General features: G+C 42.1%; 1 annotated feature.

Moving 5' to 3' along the window:
- Positions 9,828 to 10,022: a silencer, noted in NCBI's record as "fragment chr12:38512623-38512817 (GRCh37/hg19 assembly coordinates)". NCBI's record gives its function as "represses an EF-1alpha promoter that drives an FKBP-Casp9 reporter gene in an ReSE screen in HepG2 liver carcinoma cells {active_cell/tissue: HepG2}" and the evidence as "EXISTENCE:reporter gene assay evidence [ECO:0000049][PMID:32094911]".

Genomic DNA, 19,765 nt, shown 5'->3' on the forward strand with positions numbered 1-19,765 from the left:
AGGGCTGTACACTCTGCAGTCTGCTAATGAGGCTGGTCTGTGAGATGATTAAAACCAAGAGCCTGAGTGCTTCGCATGTTCATTTTTCTCCTGCTGAAAGGATCAAGGAGTCCTTAAAGCTAATGTTGAGGCTTGGATGAGTCCAAACCACTAGAAGTTCATGTGGTTGAGCTGTGAGCAGCCAAAAGGCTGCTGAAAGCTACATTGAATGGGTCTTGTTAGTCTCTTCTTTACCCACATGAAGGTGCCCACTACCTCTGCACTCCAAAATTTTTTCCTTCATCTATAGCCAACTTCAGCAACTTTAAGTATTAAACTACGTAAGATTGGTGATTTGGAGGGGGGAGCTCGAGCTTTTATAGTCCTGTTGGATATGACAAATGTAGGATCAAGAGTGATTATAAAGTGGTAGAAAGGAAAAAGTTCTTAATCCTGGGTACTCTTGAAATGTAAGGTATCACACAGCTTAATTTAACAAGCCAAGGAGAAAAAAATCTCCCAACCACTCAAATCCTCTTTTTCATGTGAATCACTTCTGGCCCCTTGTGGCCTCATACTCCTGCCCAGGGGATAGTGCCATCCTACTTTAGCCCTTGCCTCAAACAAATATTTAACACTATGGTCTGTGTTTAAATAGAAGAAGCTGAGCAGAGAAAAGAATTTGGGCAAATTCTACACATACTTCATGATTCTCACAAATTACAATCTGTGAGTGAACATAATAACAATAAGAGTTCTGTAAATATATATTTGATTTGATTTTTGAGACAGGATCTCACTATCACCCAGGTTGAAATGCAGTGGTGTCATCTTAGCTCATTGCCACTTCCGTCTCCTGGGCTTCAGTGATCCTCCGAAGTAGCTGTGACTATGGATGCAGACCACCACACTAGCCTAATTTTTTATTTTGTGTAGAGATGGGGTTTCCGCATGCCGCCCAGGCTAGTCTTGAACTCCTGAGCACAAATGATCTCCCACCTCAGCCTCCAAAAGTGCTAGGATTACAGGAGTGAGCCACTGCACCTGGCAGAGTTCTGTAAATATATATTTAATGAGCATTATGTGGCAATAGGTGTTCTTATATTTATAGAAATAAATATTTAATTGATACTAAGTACAACACCAAGGCTCTTTTTAAAAATTCTCTGATTTCTTCTGTCAATTAGGCAAGTCAATTCAAGTTCTGTGAATTAGGCAAGTCAATTCCTTCTGCTTTGACTGATGACAAAAAGGGGCAGAGAGTATGAGTCACCAAGGCAGCGGGGAGCAGAGAAAAAAAGTTTGGACTGCAGTTCATTGATCTATTTCTCCTGTGATTGGCAGTATTCTGTCTCTCCACAAAGTTCAACAAGTTGTGATTTCTTATAGGCTGTGTCTGAAGTATCCAGAAATGTTATTAGGTTCCAGCTGAGCTATGCCTTTGAATATTTTACTATCTGTTATCTACAGAAGAAAATACATGCAGCTACTTAAGGGCACATTCTCTGCCAAGCACTGTGCTAAAGCAGGAGCTTACAGGTGTGAGTTGACTTAATCGTTAGGAAAACTCAAGGATTAAGGGAGTCATTATTCCAATTTTACACAAGAAGATAAAATGTTGTCTCATTGTGAGCAGCTGCCTAGAAAGAATAAATAAATAAGTAAAGCCACATGGCTGGTAAGAGGCAAACTGGAATCTCAAAACCAGTCATTTAATCCTATCATTTTGGCAAGCTGAGCAACCCCTTGCCAGTGGCCTAAAAAAATGCCAGGGAAAGAGAGGGTGGCAATTGTGCATTTGAGAAACAGGTAAAAACCTGGTGTTGATATTCAGAAAAAATGTATTAGATTATTGCAACACTTGACATCCATTGTTAACTTAATGCAACGCATAAAAGTGTTTACAAAAGCTGCACATGCTTTGGGGATCAACATTTGGGAGGGATTTACATAGAATATACATTTACCTTAAGAAACATGTGTTCAGCTCCTAGTAACTCCATGTCTATCAAATATATCATTATTACACAAATTAGGTGTTTCATCTAATAATGAGATGGCTAATTCTGTGTTTAATAAATGTTATATTTATTTATAAATTGATAAAATTTTAATAAATTTATAAATAAGTTCAATCATTTCAATGATCACTAAGAACTGGTTGAGTACGTCTTAGACCACATAGCACATGTGTGTGAATGAGTGTGTGTGTGAGTGTGTAATGTATAGTCTGTTTCTACATATAATGTATATTTTATCTATATATTATAATTAATATACACATAATATATAGCATATATATGAGTAATACACATACAACACATGGCTGAAAACATGTATTGTGTATATATATATAATATATACACAATATATTAAATATATTAAATTATTAATATATTAAATATATTATATATATATAGTTTTTTTTTGAAACGGAGTCTCACACTGTTGCCCGGGCTGGAGTGCAGTGGCGCGATCTCGGCTCACTGCTCCCTCTGCCTCCCAGGTTGAAGCTATTCTCCTGCCTCAGTGTCAGGAGTAGCTGGGATTACAGGCACCCCCTCACCATGCCCGGCTAACGTTTTTTTGTATTTTTAGTGGAGACGGAGTTTCACTATGTTGGCCAGTCTGGTCTCGAACTCATGACCTTGTGATCCACCTGCCTCGGCTTCCCAAAGTGCTGAGATTACAAGCATGAGCCACCATGCCCGGCCTGTATTCTATTTTTATTAGAGTTTAATTTACTGGTGCCCACAAGAAAAAAAGAAAATACGTTTTACAAGTAAAATCAAAGCACTAGTTATTAACCCCTGCATCTAGTCTTTTTTCAGAATGAGGGCTGGCATAATTAAATAACAAGTAAAATTGAGCTGGGCATGGTGGCTTGTGCCTGTCATCCCAGCACTTTGGGAGGCCGGCTGAGGTGGGCAGAATACTTAAGGCCAAGAGTTGAAGACCAGCCTGGCCAACATGGCAAAACCCCATCTCTACTAAAAATACAAAACATCAGCCGGGCATCGTGGCATGTGCCTGTATTCCCAACTACTAGGGAGGCTGTGGTGGGAGAATCACTTGAACCCGGGAGGCAGAGCTTGCAGTGAGCTGAGCTCATGCCACTGCACTCCAGCTGGGGTGATAGAGCAAGATCCTGCCTCAAAAATAAATAAATAAATAAGTAAAATTAGCATGAACATAATTTTTTTAAATATATATCTCTATTTTTTCATCAGGTTTCAATCTTTATTTAGAAACTTTTGCTTTTTTAAAGATCTGTTCCACACTCTTCTGCCAAACTCTCACTGCCAAAACCTTAGCTTTCTGAAGTTTTTTATTTTACTCTCTGACTCCTGAATAGCATCTCTGAACCAACCTAGGGCCTAAAGAAACTTGCTAAACTGAAGGGAGTAATCGAGGCCTGGCTGACTTTTTCACCTGCTGATTGTAGAGCCACAGTGCCTTGAGTGAACACAGACTGTAACCATGAAGGTGTGATGGCAGGCCTTGGGTGAGTTCAAGCACTCTGCTGGATTCAGTTCTGACCCAGTGCAGTCATAGTGGTCATGGCCACAGAGATGTTTGTGTCATTCCACTTCACTTTCATGTGTCTCAGAACACACACACATGCACACACACACACACACACAGACTCTATTTGTTTGGGAGAAAGTAAAAGAAGAAAAGAAAAGTCTCTGCTAGATAATTCAGAAAATTCTCCAAGACCCTGTTGTCTAAGACCATCACGGTAGTACCTCTGTGAGCCTGCAAGAACCACAGTGTTACTGGGCTTAAGATGTCCCCTAAAGTAGAAAGAGCTTAGATCACAACACCCAAGTCCTTTTAAATATCTCTAAAACCTTCCCAGGAACAATGGTTACAAACAAGCCCAAACAGTGTTGACTACAATAAATATCAAATCTTCAATGGCGAGACACCCACAAAGATCTATCGGCATCAGCAAATCATTAAAAGAAATATTTAATCAAATGAACTAAAAAAGGAACCAGGGACCAATCCTGGAGAAACAGAAATGTGTCATTTTTCTGAAAGAGAATTCTGAATAGGGAATTCAGCATTAGGGAAACAAATTCAAAATAACAAAAAAAGAAATTCAAAATTCTATCAGATACCTTTAACAAACAGATTAAAATAATTATATTTATTTATTTACCTCTTTATTTAGACAGAGTTTCACTCTTTTTGCCCAGGCTGGAGTGCAGTGGCGTGATCTTGGCTCACTGCAACCTCTGCCTCCCAGTTTCCAGTGATTCTTCTGCCTCATCCTCCAGACTAGCTGGGATTACAGGTGCCCTCCACACACCCTCCTAATTTTGTATTTGTAATACAGTCTCCAACTCCTGACCTCTGGTGATCCACCCATCTCGGCCTCCCAAAGTGCTGAGATTACGGGCGTGAGCCACCGTGCCTGGCCTATCATTTGCTTTTCTTTCTTCCTTTGTTTCTTTAACAAGCATGGACACTTCTATCTGGGTTTTAAAAATTGTGTACAAGAAAAATAAATTTGGGGGCTTCCAAATTACTAAACTAAAGGGAAAAGTCAAGCTGGGAACTGCTTAGGGCCATCCTGCCTCCCATTCTATTCAAAGTCACTCCTCTGCTCACAGCGATAAATGCATATTTAATTTCCTCTTTTGGAGAGGCTAATCAGAAACTCAAAAGAATGCAACCATTAGTTTCTCAATTACCTATGACCCGGAAGTGCCCTCCTCGCTTTGAGAATTCCTGCCTTTGCTTCAAGTTGTCCCGCCTTTGCAGACCGAACCAATATTAATCTTGCACAAATTGATTCATGTCTCTGGTGTTCCTAGAATGTATAAAACCAAACTGCTCTGATGACCTTAGGCACACGTCCTCAGAACCTCCTGAGGCTGTGTCATGGGTATGTGTCCTCAACCTTGGCCAAATAAACTTTCTTAATTCACTGAGATCTGTCTCAAGTTATCAGGGTTCACAATGGAGAGTGAATTGTAGCTCCACCCTAGGACTTCTCATTAACAAGAACTATCCTGAATCTCTCCAGATGCAGCGAAACCAGGTATATGTAAACTTTATGAAACTAAACGGCACTTCCTAGAAGTATATGAATGAATGTTGAGGAAAAAAACACAAACCACCCACCTTTCAAAGAAGCAATAACCCTGAATTCTGTGTCATTTTCAGAGTCAGCTTGTTTCCTGAGTCATCCCACCAAACGAAAACATTCCAGGGTGAGCTATTGTCCCTCCAGCCTTTGGCCCTGCCCCTTCGGTCCCCTGCACCCTCCCCTAAACCCTTTCAGTGATCACATTCTCTGATTCTGCAAAACCAGATGGGAGCCCTGAAGAGAGTTCTCTTTTATCTTCTTTTTTTTTTTGAGATGGAGTCTTGCTCAGTTGCCCAGGCTGGAGTGTCATGGCGTGATCTCTGCCCACTGCAACCTCTGCTTCCCGGATTCCAGCTATTCTCCTGCCTCAGCCCCACAAGTAGATGGGATTACAGACATGCGCCACCACGCCCAGCTAATTGTATTTTTAGTAGAGAGGGGGTTTCATAATTTTGGCCAGGCTGGTCTCAGGTGAATGGCCCTTCTCAGCCTCCCAAAGTGCTGGGATTACAGGCATGAGCAACTGTGCCCAGTCAGAGAACAATGGTTTTTAAATGATTTTTTTGATTCATGAACTCCTTTGAGAATATTATAAAAGTTAGGAGCTCTCTCTTGAGTAAAATGCACACACACATACAGAATGTTCCCAGAGCCTCTGGAGCCCCGCCATGCATCCCTGGCTAAGAATCTCTTGTATATAGAATATATTATAGTGCTATGCATCACAAAACAAGTTGCCCTGTCACAACCTGATGTTGAAATGCATATTTGGAATCTTGCAGTCACATAACCTCAAGTGTTTCATCAAGAAACACAGCAATGTGGCAAAAATTTTGCATAGTGCACCAGGGCCTCCTAGACTGCTTATGATTCCTTCATACTCTTGAGCACGTACACAACAATCTGAGATGCGAAAGGCACAGAAGCTTGTCTTAATCTGAGCAAATCAACAGCTTTCAGAAGCTGCAAGGAAATGAAGCATCAGAGAAAGTGAAAATTGTCCCTAACGATAGTTCAGAAAATAGGGCTGATTAGGCAAACTATCCCTGAGTTTCAGTGGATCCCAGACGTCATGGATCACCAATCACTGTTGCCATCCTCCTGGGAGCGTCCTGCTCACCTGTTTGGCAGTCAAACTCAATAGAACAGATTTTAGAGTCAGGCAGGCCTGGATTTAAATGTTGGCTTTCTTTGCCGTATAAATTTGTGGAGGCTGCTTAGCTTCTCTGAACCTGTTACCTCATCTGTAAAATGCGAATAACAAGAGAATCTACCTCATAGGATTATTGTGAACATTAAATGAAATAAGACATGTAAAGTGCTCAGCACCCTACTCAGCAAGTGGGAAATACTCAGTAATAAGGCTGTTACTATGAACAGTAGCAGAGGGCAATAGCAGCATAACTCCAGAGTTAGGAAAACTCAATTCCAAGCCAGATGCGGTGGCTCATGCCTGTAATCCCAGCACTTTGGGAGGCCAAGACAGGCGGCAGATCACTTGAAACCAGGAGTTCAAGACTAGCCAGGACGACATAGTGAAACCTGGTCTCTATAAAAAATACAAAAATTAGCCAGGTGTGATAGTGCATGCCTTTGGTCCCATCTACTCAGGAGGCTGAGGTGGGAGGATTGCTTGAGCCCAGGAGGTTGAAACTAAAGTGAGCTGTGATTGCACCACTGCGCTCCAGCCTGGGTGACGCCCTGTCTCCAAAACAAAAAATAAACAAAAAACCCTTGATTCTAGATTTTGACTTCAATTACTTGCCGGTTTAACTTTGTGCAGGTTACTGAACTCTCCCATTTTTAATTTCCTCAACTGAAGCACAGGGTTAACCCCTACTTCAAAGTGTAGTTCAGCCAGGCACAGTGGCTCATGCCTATAATCTCAACGCTTTGGTAGGTCGAGGTGGGCAGATCACTTGAGGTCACGAGTTCAAGACCAGCCTGGCCAACATGGTGAAACCCTGTCTTTACTAAAAATACAAAAATTAGCCGGGTGTGTTTGCACATGCCTATAGTCTCAGCTACTTGTGAGGCTGAACCAGGAGAATTGCTTCAACCTGGGAGGCAGAGGTTGCAGTGAGCTGAGATCTCACCACTGCACTCCCACCTGGGTGACAGAATGAGACTCCATCTCAAAAAACAACAACCCCCTTCCCATCCCCCCCAAAAAAAAAGTGAAGTTCAATGAGCTAATAATGCATGTTCTGTATGTGCTTAAACATGTCTGGCACATATTAAACACTCAGTAAATAGTGGCAATAAAGATGTTGATGGTACTAATAGTAGTTAATAGTTACAAATCTCTTACTAAATGCCAGGAACTGTTCTAAGCCCTTTTCATGTATTATTTTTTATTTAGTTGTCATAACCAATAAGGTAAGTCCAATTATTATCTTTGGATGAGGCCTGCAAAACTCAAATAAATTGTCCTAGATCACAGAGCTGGTAAAATATTTTTTTGAGGCAGGGTCTTGCTCTGTTGCCCAGGCTGGAGTGCTGTGGCATGATCACAGCTCATCACAACCTCAATCTCCTGGGATCAAGTGATACTTCTGCCTCAGCCTCCTCAGTAGCTGAGACTACAGGTGTGTGCGACCATGCCCAGCTAATTTTTAATTTTTTTTTTGGAGAGAGTGTGTCTCTCTATGTTGCTCAGACTGGTCTCAAACTTCTGAGCTCAAGAAATCTTCCTGCTTGGCTTCCCAAAATGCTGGGATTATAAATGTGCACCTACATGCCCAACAAAATTTCAACCTAGACAGAGCTTGAGACCATACCCTAAACTACTGTTTTCCTGAGAATAATGTGTCAACATCAGCTCTGTAAATCAGAGATTAAAGATCACTTCACTAAAGTTTGAGACACTTCCCATTTCTGGCTGGAGCTGCCCTCCGTGCCCCATCAGTTTTCATGGCTTGAGGGGGCACCACTGTCCCAAAAACATGTGCACTACTATGGCTACATGCTGTTCTAAGAGAACAAAGACAGCCTTCTCCAAATCCTTCTAGATCTGCCATTAGTCTCAGTCAGCCAATGGCCACTGACTCCTCTGGTATGAGAGGGACAGCCCTTCTGCCTGACCACACCAAGAGAAAGCATTCAGGGTTTGCTTGATGATTTCATGAGGGGAGCATACTGGGGTGGAAGAATGTTCCCTGCATGCTTGTTTTGCAACTTCCCAGCTCGGACAGGCTCCAGTGAAAATCGTGTGATTAGGGAGCCCAGACTAATGGCAGACACAGGGCCCCCTGCTCTCCTCCAAAAGTCGCAAGGCTCCCATTGTCACGGTTCACAGGAAGCCAAGAAGAGCACCAGGGACAGGTGGCAGACATCCCGACAACATGAAAAGGATAGGTAATTGAACATAGCTAGGTTACATTAATCATCCAGGGTCAGAGAACAGAACAAGGAAAGGAGAGAGGGGAGAAATCAGTCCAGACTTTCTGGTCAGTTGGCACAGGAGCAGTGGCACAAAATGGCTTTGTGTGGGGGATTTAGCTCACATAATCTCTAACAGGGCACCCCCTCCTTGCAAATTGCCCCAAATATACGTACAACCTAAATTCAAGGCCAGCCCCAGCCTCCCCTCTGATGAGATTGCTGCCCTGAGCTCCTCCTTTATAGAAATGCTGGCAACACCATGGCTGCTCAGCCACCTATGGTTTAGGGGGAACATAGAGGCTTGCATTTGCACTGCTGGATTCAGAGGCAGGGATCCCTGAAACCCAGGGACAGTCTCCTAGATCTAACTATCCACAGGGATTAACTGGTCATTATCACCTCTGGGATGTGTGTTCTGCAGACCTTGCTTTCTATTTGTTCCTTGCATCTGGCCCTGCCCAGACAATTGATTTCAGCAACTATAAATTTGGAGGGAGTTGTTCATCTTGGAAAAGATTCTGGAATGGAGACCTGAAAGCGAGGAGGAAACATCTTCCCCAGGAACCAAATACAAATATGTTCAAATACAAATCATGCCTGACCACTCCCTAGGCTTCTCTGAGTGGGTTACAAGACTACAGGCTCAGGGAGCTTTAGGAGATGTGCACCATCGGGCTTCAGTGACCAGAATCCATAGGGAACTGTCACATGGCCTCTGACCTTGTGTATGATCTAGGTGAAGATACCTATTTTTCTCACAATATGACAGACAGCATGAAGCTAGGGGGCAGGCACACTTGGGATGACAGAACCAGGAATCCAAAAGATAGTGTAAAATAAGGGTAAAGTGCTGACTAAAAGATGAAATTTATGAATAGCAGGAACAGACATGGTCTTGCACTTTGGTCAATGACATAATAAACATAAACAATCAAAGGACCCTGCCCAGGTTTAAATTCTTGTCACTGTTACCCTCGGCACAAAACATAATCTTGTGAGGTCCCACCTCCTCACTTGTAAAACTGGGATAATAATAGCCCCTACATTATGAAGTTGTTATGAGAATTAAATCAGTTAATGTAGGCAAAGTGCTTACGTAACATGGTGGTGATGATGATGGCAATGGTGATGATGGTGGTGGTGATGAAAATGGTGATGGTATGATGATGGTGGTGGTGGTGAAGATGGTGGTGATGGTGATGGGTGAAGGTGATGGTGCTGATTATTATGGTGATGGTGATGATGGTGATGGTATGATGATGTGACAGTGATGGTGATGATGGTGATGATGATGATGGTGCTGATGGTGATGGTGGTATGATGGTGATAGTGAGGGTAATGATGGTGATGATAATAATGGTAGTGATAGTGATGGTGATGGTGGTGATGGTCATGATGATGGTAATGGTGATGATGGTGGTGATAGTGATGGTAATGATCGTGATGGTGATGATGGTGGTGGTGATGGTGATGATGATGTTGATGATAGCAATGGTGATGATGGTGATGGTGATAATGGTAGTGATAGCGATGGCGGTGGTGGTGATGGTAATGTGATGATGGTGATGGAGATGACGGTGATGGTGATGATGATGGTGGTGATAGTGGTGGTGATGGATGATGATGATGGTGATGGTGATAGATAACACATGGTGCCAATCATAGTGCTTCCCACTAGGCAGTCTGATTCCAGAGCCTATGTTCTTAACCATCTTGCTATACTAATTCTCATAAGTGTTAAGTATAATTATTATAATTATTACTGACTAGGAAGAAATGTGGCTGATTCACAGCCTATGTAAAAATGACTTTATGGGTGATGGCTGACAGCAAGTACAACACGAGTCACATAAAGACTATCTGTAATGAGGTGGTGACACTCCCATGCTACTTTTTGCAGCATGGGTATCACAAGAGGAGAGGCCTAAAGACACACAGAGCAGGACCAGAAGGAAATGACTAGGGCCAGGTGCAATGGCTCATGCCTGTAATCTCAGCTCTTTGGGTGGCTGAGGCAGGTGGATGGCCTGAACTCAGAAGTTTGAGAGCAGCCTGGTCAACATGGTGAATCCCCGTCTCTACCAAAAATACAAAAATTAGACGGGCGTGATGGTGGGCACCTGTAATCCCAGCTACTCGGGAGGCTGAGGCAGGAGAATTGCTTGAACCTGGGAGGCGGAGGTTTCAGTGAGCCGAGATGACACCATTGCACTCCAGCCTGGGCGACAAGAGTGAAACACCCTCTCAAAAATAAATAAATAAATAAATAAAAATAAAAAAGAAGGAAATGACCAGAAAGACCAAACCATAGCATAAGAAGAATAGCCAAGAGCAGGTATGGTGACTTGTGCTTGTAGTCTCAGCAATTTGGGAGCCTGAGGCAGGAGGATCTCTTAAGCCCAGGAGTTTGAGAACAGTCTGGCAACGTGGTGAGACCCTGTCTCTAAGAAAAATTTAAAAATAATAGCCAGAGGACCTGGCATGTTTTGCCTGAAGAAAATACTTGGGGGACATGCCAGCCACTTTCTAAGGCCTTAAGCCTGCTACATAGAATCCAAGGCCCAGAAGTAGGCCAGGTGAAGGTGGGTCCTAGGTAGACAGATCTCAGCTCAATACAGGAAGGACTTTCTGATGTGTTGACCCAAGTTGAAAAGGAAGCATCCTGTCCCAGAAGCATCTGAGTGCTGGCAGAATCCAGAAGTCTGGGACTCAAACACTGGATAGAGGAGTAGCTATTTTACAGGCTCTAAATAGCTCCTCCAAGTGTGGAACCAGGACCATCTGATGACCACATGCATCACCCAGGGGCTTGTTAGACACATAGATCCAGAGTCTCCACCCCAGCCACTGACTCTGAATCTGCATTTTCACAAGTTTCACAGGTGACCTGTGTGCACATGAATGCTGACAAGCACTGATGTGGAGAGCATCTGAGGAATACCCAGGTTCAGGTGGGCTGCTGCTCTGAAAAGCAAGAGTGGGGAGAAACGCTGGGGCAAGGAAGAGCACGTGGTGCTAGAGTCTGGTCTCTAAGGGGACGGCCCAGCTGTGTGTCCAGCCCAGTTGCTCCAATTATGTCTGTTTTTTTATCTAGTCGGGCTGAAAAGAGTCATTCAAATTTGCATAAGGAGGCCTGAGGTAAAGGGGCTTGCGGGCATGGGTACTCATCTGACACCTCACTAAGCCATCTTGGTAAATCATCTCTAGAATGCCTGTTGTTATTTTGGGAAACACCACAAAGAGGATGATAATTAAAAGTAACACCCTGAGTGGGAATTTCTACTTCCCTCCAGTGGTTGGCAAGTAAAGCATAGGGAATTTTTTGGTCAGGGAATTTTTTGGTCAGGTAATATTTCTATATATTTTCACAGGTCACACAACATCAAAGCTTGAGTGTGTTGCAGATTTTTTCCCTTTCCTCTCCTGGTGCTTTGGGTTTGCAGCTTTATGCTATTGCCATTTTCTTGTCTTCTTCTTTTTTTTTTTTCTTTCCACTGAGCATTTTCTGATTTTAATTTGACTTGCAATGGGGGAGGGTATTTCTTCTGGATGTTACATTACATCCGAAGCGTAAAATGGTAAACGAAGCTGCAGGTCATTTTCAGGTGAAAAGACAATTTTATGCTTCATGGTTACGACCATGTAAAGCATTTTCATGGCAGGGTATTTTTCATCTTAGATCTCCATCGGGATGGCATGCAGGGATTTGCTGTTCAGTAGAAAGTTCACCTTTCAGTTACCCACTGTCTGTCTGCAGCCTCCTAGCCTTGCTGCTCTCCTGCACAGGTGCAGGGGCATTCCTGTTAGACCCGTTTCCCTCCTGGGACTGCCAGGGCCCTGGTGTTGCCATATTCCCCTGGTTTTCAGGGCCCCTTGCCATGCATCTTATCCATCCCTCACGACCCTCATTGCCTACCTGCTAGGCCCATTGTCTAGGACCTGAGCCCCTTAGTAACACTCATTGATCTGCCTTACACACTGTCCTCCTACTCCTCCTCTCTGATAAAACCCCAACTTCGGTTCATCCCACCATCTGCCTTCTCTGCTTCTGACTCCACCCTGCCAAGAGAGGAGAAAGCCCACGGAAGCACCACCTGAGGCCACCACAGTTTCACGGTCTCAAGCCTTCCCTAGATTCTTGCACTCTCTGACAATTTTAGTTGTCCTAAATCAGCTCCTCTCCCCACTCCCCCTGCAAAAAAAAACCTATTACTTGGCCCCACTTCCCTGCATCACAGAGGAGCCTTATCTTTTTCACAGCTTGTTGACAGCTCTTTCAATATCAGTCCTTTTGTTATCTCCCTGAGGCAGCTTTTAGGATGCTGGGACAGATTCCATGGCCCTGTGCTAAAGCAAATGAACTTGAATCTCTCAGGTGGGGCCCAGGGTTCTTTTTATTTAATTTTATTATTTTTTTTTAGAGACAGGATCTTGCTGTATCAACCAGGCTGGAGTGCAGTGGTGTGATCATAGCTCACTGTAGCCCCTAACTCTCTGGGCTCAAGAGATCCTCCTGCCTCAGCCTCCTGAGCAGCTGGTACTACAGGTGCAAGCCGCCATGCCTGGCTATTTTATTTTATTTTAGAAACGGAGTCTCGCTCTATTTCTGCATTAAAACTTGAATACTATCTAGGAGGGACCTATCATACAATAAACAGCTCTGGGGTAAACACATTTCATAAGGTCCAATGTCATTCATGAGTTTAACTTTTTTACTGTTTTCCAAGTACTTTCTTACCTGTAGACTTACATTTTTTTAATAGGTCTTGCCATGTCACCCAGGCTGAGTGCAGTGGCACAATCAGAGCTCAAAGTAGCCTTGAACTCCTGGGTTCAAGAAATCCTCAGCCTCAGCCTCATAATTGGCTGGCACTACAGGTGAATGCCACTGTTTTTATTTTTTATTTTTTTAGTAGTAGAAATGGGGTCTCTCTATATTTCTCAGGTTCTTGAACTCCTGGACTCAATCAATCCTCCTGCCTTGGCCTCTCAAAGTTCTGGGATTCAAGGCATGAACCACTGTGCTCCGCCACATAAATTTTTTTTTAATTAGCTGGGCATGGTGGGGCATGCCTGTGATCCTAGCTACTCAGGAGGCTGTGGTGGGATGACCACTTCAGCACAGGGGGCCAAGACTGCAGTGAGCTATAATCATGCCACTGCACTCCAGCCTGGATAACAGAGTGAGACCCTGTCTCTAAAATATAAAATAATAAATAAAATAATAAAAAGAGAGTACCTGGTAGGGCAACCATAGACTATCTTATCAAGATAAGAAAACACCCTCTGTGGGCCAAGGTGATGCAGCCAGCTCACACAGGATTTTACATAGAATTAATTTTATTTATTTTTTATTTATTTATTTATTTTTTGGGACAGAATGTAGGGAGACCCCATGAAACTATTGCTATGGAATAAAAGATGAAATGTTCCTGATTATTGTAAATACAAAGCTGCATGCTGGATTGTGTAAAGACAATGCCAGGTTGGACTGCCAGAATGAGCCAACAGCACATGATGTGCTTCGCCCTGCAGAGAGCCTATGAACGAACGTGCAGTCATGGAGGTTTCATATCACCAAGATTCCTATCCCAGAAAAGCAGATGTTCATAGCTCTGGGAATGGAATGCGACCCTTATGGAGAGCCTATAAACAGATGCATGAGGGGTGCCTGTTCATATGGATAAGACAGGGATATAAATGCCCTCATTTTGCCATGTCTCTTCTAGACCTCTTTAGGGTTAAGGCATACTCCCTTCTGAGACTTTCTGGTCTAACCCGTTGTGTAGCTTCACATCCTGTTTCTATGGATTGTTTGTAACCAGCTTTTGCTGCAACTGTTACTGCTGATTAATATCTTGCTAATTATAGGTTATGGAAAGACTGTGTTTCTGTTTTAAGGCTCTGTTAGAAATTACTGATGCACACACTATATTGTAAATTCTTACCTCTGTATACTGTACTTCTTCATACAGATGTTATGCTGAAGAATTACTTCATCCCTATATGACCATCTCACCTAATAATCAAATGACCCTAAATGCCTTACTAACCTACCCCCACCCTCACTAAACTTCATAATAAATGCTGGTATATCCAGTTCATTGGTGGCATCGCAGGACCAGAAGGCGGTGACTGCCCTGGACCCAGCTTTCACTATCTTGTGTGTGTCTATTATTTCTCGAGCTGCTGATCCTCCTGGGAACAAAGAGAGAGCCCGTTGCAGGCTGCTGGCCAGATCCCACAATATCTGTCCTGCAGTGTGGCCTCTTTTGTTCCGTGGCTCAGTGCACTCTGAGTGCATGTTCATGATGACTAGTCTTCAGTCTCCATGGTAAGGTCTCCGGGTACAAGTTTTCTGACTCTCCCCTCTTTTTGGGTTTGTTGACCAGTACTGTTCCAGGGTTATTATGGGACAATCACAGTCTAAACACCAGGCTTATCTGTCTTTTATTAAACTTCTTCTTATACTGGGTGGAATCAAGGCAGATTCCAATAACATTATTCTCTTATTTCAAACTATTGAAAAAAAATATTGTCCTTGGTTCCCTGACAAAGGTTCTATGGACCTGTTAGACTGGGATAGAGTTGGTGTCACAGTCCACCAACTCACGAGAGATGGTGTTTTACTTCCTATTTCTGTTTGGGCTGACTGTGCTGTTATTCATGTTGCTTTACTTCCTTTTCGGTCTGGTGATCCCCTTCAACTGCCACAAGTTAATGTGGATGGTGAGCTGCTCCCTTTACCTTGGGTACCTGACCCCCCTACTAGTCCTCCTTCTGATGATGAGGAGGAATTCGATCTCTCCATGTTTTCTCCCCAAGAGGAGGAACATGGTGATGATCCCCTCCCTCTGCCTCTTATCTTGGAACCTGTAAGTGTTAAATCTTCTTCTACTAAGCCATTGCCCCCTCTGCCAGAGGAGGATGTGTGGTATTCATCTGAATGGCCTGATTCTCATTCCTCTCATCCCTTTGGACCTCTCCCCTCTTCTAAGCCTACTGTTTCTTTCAATGCTGTGGGACCCCTTCTTTCAGAGGTTTGGATTCCTGCTTCACCCTAGTCCACCTCCCAGTGCCCTCACTCTCCTTCTCTCTTTTCCTCTGCCCCTGCACAATAGATGTATGAGTCACCTGTTTGTGTAGAGCAGTGGCCACTTTCCAAACACAAGTTGGAGGCTTTAATTGAAATTGTTAATGATTTACTACAAGCAAACACTATTCAGCCCTCTTTGTCTCCATGGAACTCGCCTGTGTTTGTTGTACAAAAAAAGTCAGGAAAATGGAGGATGGTAACACACTTAAAAGCTGTTGATGCAGTTATTAAACCTATGGGGGTGTTACAACCCAGTATGCCCTCCCCCTCCGTGATTCCTAAGGAATGGCCTTTAATTATCATGACCTTAAGGACTGCTTTTTTCATATTCCTTTAGACAAGTCAGACTGTGAAAAATTTGCTTTCACTATACCTTCCATTAGCAATTCAGCTCCTGCAACTAGATATCAATGGAAAGTTTTACCTCAAGGAATGATTAACAGTCCTACTATTTGTCAGTGGTTTGTCAGTACTGTGTTACAACCTATCTGACAGACTTTTACAAATAATTACATTCTTCATTATATGGATGATATACTGATTGTTGCTCCCACTAAAGGTGAATTAATTCAATGTTTCACCTCTTTAAAATTAGCTTTTGCCAATACAGGATTCCACATTGCTCCTGATAAAATTCAACAAGCCACTCCTTTTCTTTAATTAGGAAAGCAGCTAGAAGCTCACTCCATTAATCCCCAAAAAGTCCAACTTTGTACTGACAATTTAAACACCTTAAATGATTTTCAAAAATTACTAGGTGACATCAATTATCTCAGACCAGCCCTAGGCATCTCTACTTATGCATTATCTCATCTATTTGGCACTTTATCAGGAGATACAGATTTAAGCAGTTCTCACTGTCTATCAGAACCAGCAAAACAAGAGTTGTCTTTTGTAGAATAAAGAGTGAGAGAGGCAAAAGTCTCTTGTATTGACCCAAATTTGCCTTTACAATTTTTAGTTTTTCCTTCCATCCACTCTCCTATGGGACTTATAGTACAAAATGATGCTCTAGTTGAATGGGTATTTCTTCCTAATTCATCATCTAAAACTTTTTCAACATATCTTGATCAAATGGCCACTTTAATTGGGTTAGGATGTCAACGTATCACTAAAATTTCTGGCTTTCATCCAAACATTATTGTGGTCCCTTTGTCAAAAAATGAAGTTAAAAATACCTTTTCTACATCCTTGTGCTGGCAGACTAATCTGGCTGACTTCATTGGCACTATAGATAATCATTTGCCTAAGTCAAAATTCTTTCAATTTCTATGAAATACTTCCTGGATTCTACCAAAACTTACTCGTTCATCACCACTAGAGGCAGCCATTACCATTTTTACTAATGGGTCCAATAATGGAAAGGCAGGGTATGTAGGACCAAAAGATAAAGTCATTTCTACTCCATACACTTCTGCTCAAAAAGCCAAGTTGTTTGCTGTTATCTCTGCATTACAGGATTTTGATCAGCCTCTTAATATTGTCTCGACTCAGCTCAAGTAGTCCATGCCACTAAGGCAATAGAAACAGCTACCATCAGAAACATTGCTGACACTAATCTGTTTTCCTTGTTCTCTTTGTTACAAAAAAACTGTCAGAAACCGAAACCACACTTTTTTTCATCACTCACATTCGATCTCATACTAATTTGCCTGGACCTTTATCCAGTGATAATCACAAAGTTGATACTCTAGTTTCTCTAGCCATTATGGATGCAGAACAATTTCAACAACTCAGTCATACTAATGCCTCAGGTCTTAAACATAAATATTCTCACAGTTGGAAACAAGCTAAACAAATTGTAAAACACTATTCTCAGTGTCAGGTTCTTGTCTTACCCACACAATCTCCCGGAGTTAATCACTGAGACCTTTCTCCTAATGCTATTTAGCAAATGGATGTTACTCATGTTCCTTCTTTTGTAAAATTAGCTTATGTGCATGTCACATTTGACACCTTTTCCAATTTCATCTGGGCTACCTGTCAAACTGGAGAAGCCTCTTCTCATGTTAAAAAACTTATGTTTTCAGGTTTTGCGGTTATGGGAATTCCTAGTGGGCTCAAAACAGACAATGGTCCAGCCTATTGCAGTAAAGCTTTTAAAAATTTTCTTGATCAGTGGTATATTAAACATATTACTGGTATTCCTTATAACCCACAAGGACAAGCTATTATAGAAAGAAGTAACAGAACTTTAAAATTACAATTACTTAAACAAAAAGAGGGGGATAAGGAGTTGTCTACCCCTCACATACAACTAAACTTGGCATTGCTCACATTAAATTTTCTTAATATTCCTAAATCTAGTTTTGTTACTGCTGCCAAAAAAAACATTTCTCTGGTAAGCGTCCCACAGTAAACCAAGGAAGGGAAGTATAGTGGAAAGATGTTCAATCTAATATATGGTCAAAAGTTTCTATTTTAACCTGGGAAAGAGGCTATGCTTGTGTTTCCCCAGGTGCACATCAATCTCCGTTTGGATTCCTGCTAGACACCTGAAATTGTGTCCTGGAGATGCATGCGACAACGAGACAGAGAAATTTGCTGAAAAAACACCACAGAAAAAAACAACTAACACATCCAACTGTCAAAAAAAAAAAAAAAATAACCACGCTAACTCCTTTACAACAGACAATCCAGTCAGCCATCCTGAACAACTCATCTCCAGAGATCCAGGTCTGGCTCGACCTCTGCCTCCTCCTGATGACACTGATCCTTCTACCCTCTGTCACTCCACAGACTATTAAAAACTGTACAAATTGGGCCTATATTCCATTTCATCCTCTTATTTGAGCCATGACATGGATGGACGCTCCTATCGAAGTTTCTGTTAATGATAGTATTTGGATGCCTGGTTCTGTAGATGATCATTGTCCTGCCCAACTTTCAGAAGAAGGAACCCCTTTCAATATCATTTTAGGTTTTAGGTATCTACTTTTGTGCCTGGGACCCACTAATGGATGTCTCTCATTAGAGATTCAAACATGGGTGGTCACACTAGCGTCTGGTCACTCCATCCCTCCTTTGGAACACTTGGTATCAGGGCTCTCATTAAAACCTCTAAGGCAGATCAAAATAGGAATTGCTGATTATATTCACACATCCCAATATAAGCTTTTAGGACCTGTGGGTCCCCTCAACTTGTCTTCAAATGCTGACAAATTAATATGGAAGGATTGTGTTAGTTCAGAAGGAACTGTGTTATTTAATTGTTCTCACTACACCATTGTTGATTAGGCTCCTAAAAGTCATATTATTAATGATTGCTCTCAAGGTCACAGAGATTATCAACATTTTCTCTATGATATTACTTATCAAGAAAGTAGTGGCAACCCTCACCTATTATATCATAGATTTAACTCCTTTTTTCCTCTTACGTGGAAAGGGGCAGGGATTGCCCCTCCAAAGCCAAGGCTCTTTGTTCCCCACTTAGGACCTCAACATTCAGAATTATGGAGTTTAACCATAGCTATGACTGGTATGAGAGTTTGGGCTGGAGAAAGTGTTATAAGTAAATCCACCTTGTCACCTCAAAAACCAAGACAACAGATTGATTCACACTACTATTTCCACACAGCCAAAAAATATCACTATGGCAATCATCAAAAGGTCAATTCAAAGATGGGACAGTAAAGATTATGAGGACTTATATCCCCCGGTTGCTAATGTCCCCCCACCACCTCTCATACAACCTATTCCCCCCACCCCACATTCACAAAAAAGAGTACCATCCCAAAATATATATACTATCTATATGGAGTCCAACAAAACTATACCACTTAAAAGTTGTGTTAAACCACCATATATGTTATTAGTAGGAAAGATGCATATTAGTTCAAAAACCAACATAATTACATGTGTTAATTGTTACTTGTATACTTGTATTGACTCATCCTTTAATCAACATCATAGTATTTTAATATTGAGAGCCAGAGAAGGTATTTGGATACCCATAGCCTTACATAGGCCTTGGGAATCTTCCCCTTCTACAGATGTTATTAATAATATTCTACAGAAAATTCTTAAAAGGAGTAAACAATTTATTTTTACATTAATTGCAGTAATAATGGGCTTGATTGCTGTTACTGTGACTGCTGCTACTGCTGGAGTTGCATTACATCAGTCTATTCAAACTGTTCATTTTGTGGATGAATGGCAAAAAAAAAATCTACTCAGATGTGGAATTCTCAGTCAGGTATTGATCA

The sequence above is a fragment of the Homo sapiens genome, chromosome 12 (assembly GCF_000001405.40).
Source record: "Homo sapiens chromosome 12, GRCh38.p14 Primary Assembly".
In the NCBI taxonomy this organism is placed as follows: Eukaryota; Metazoa; Chordata; class Mammalia; order Primates; family Hominidae; genus Homo; species Homo sapiens.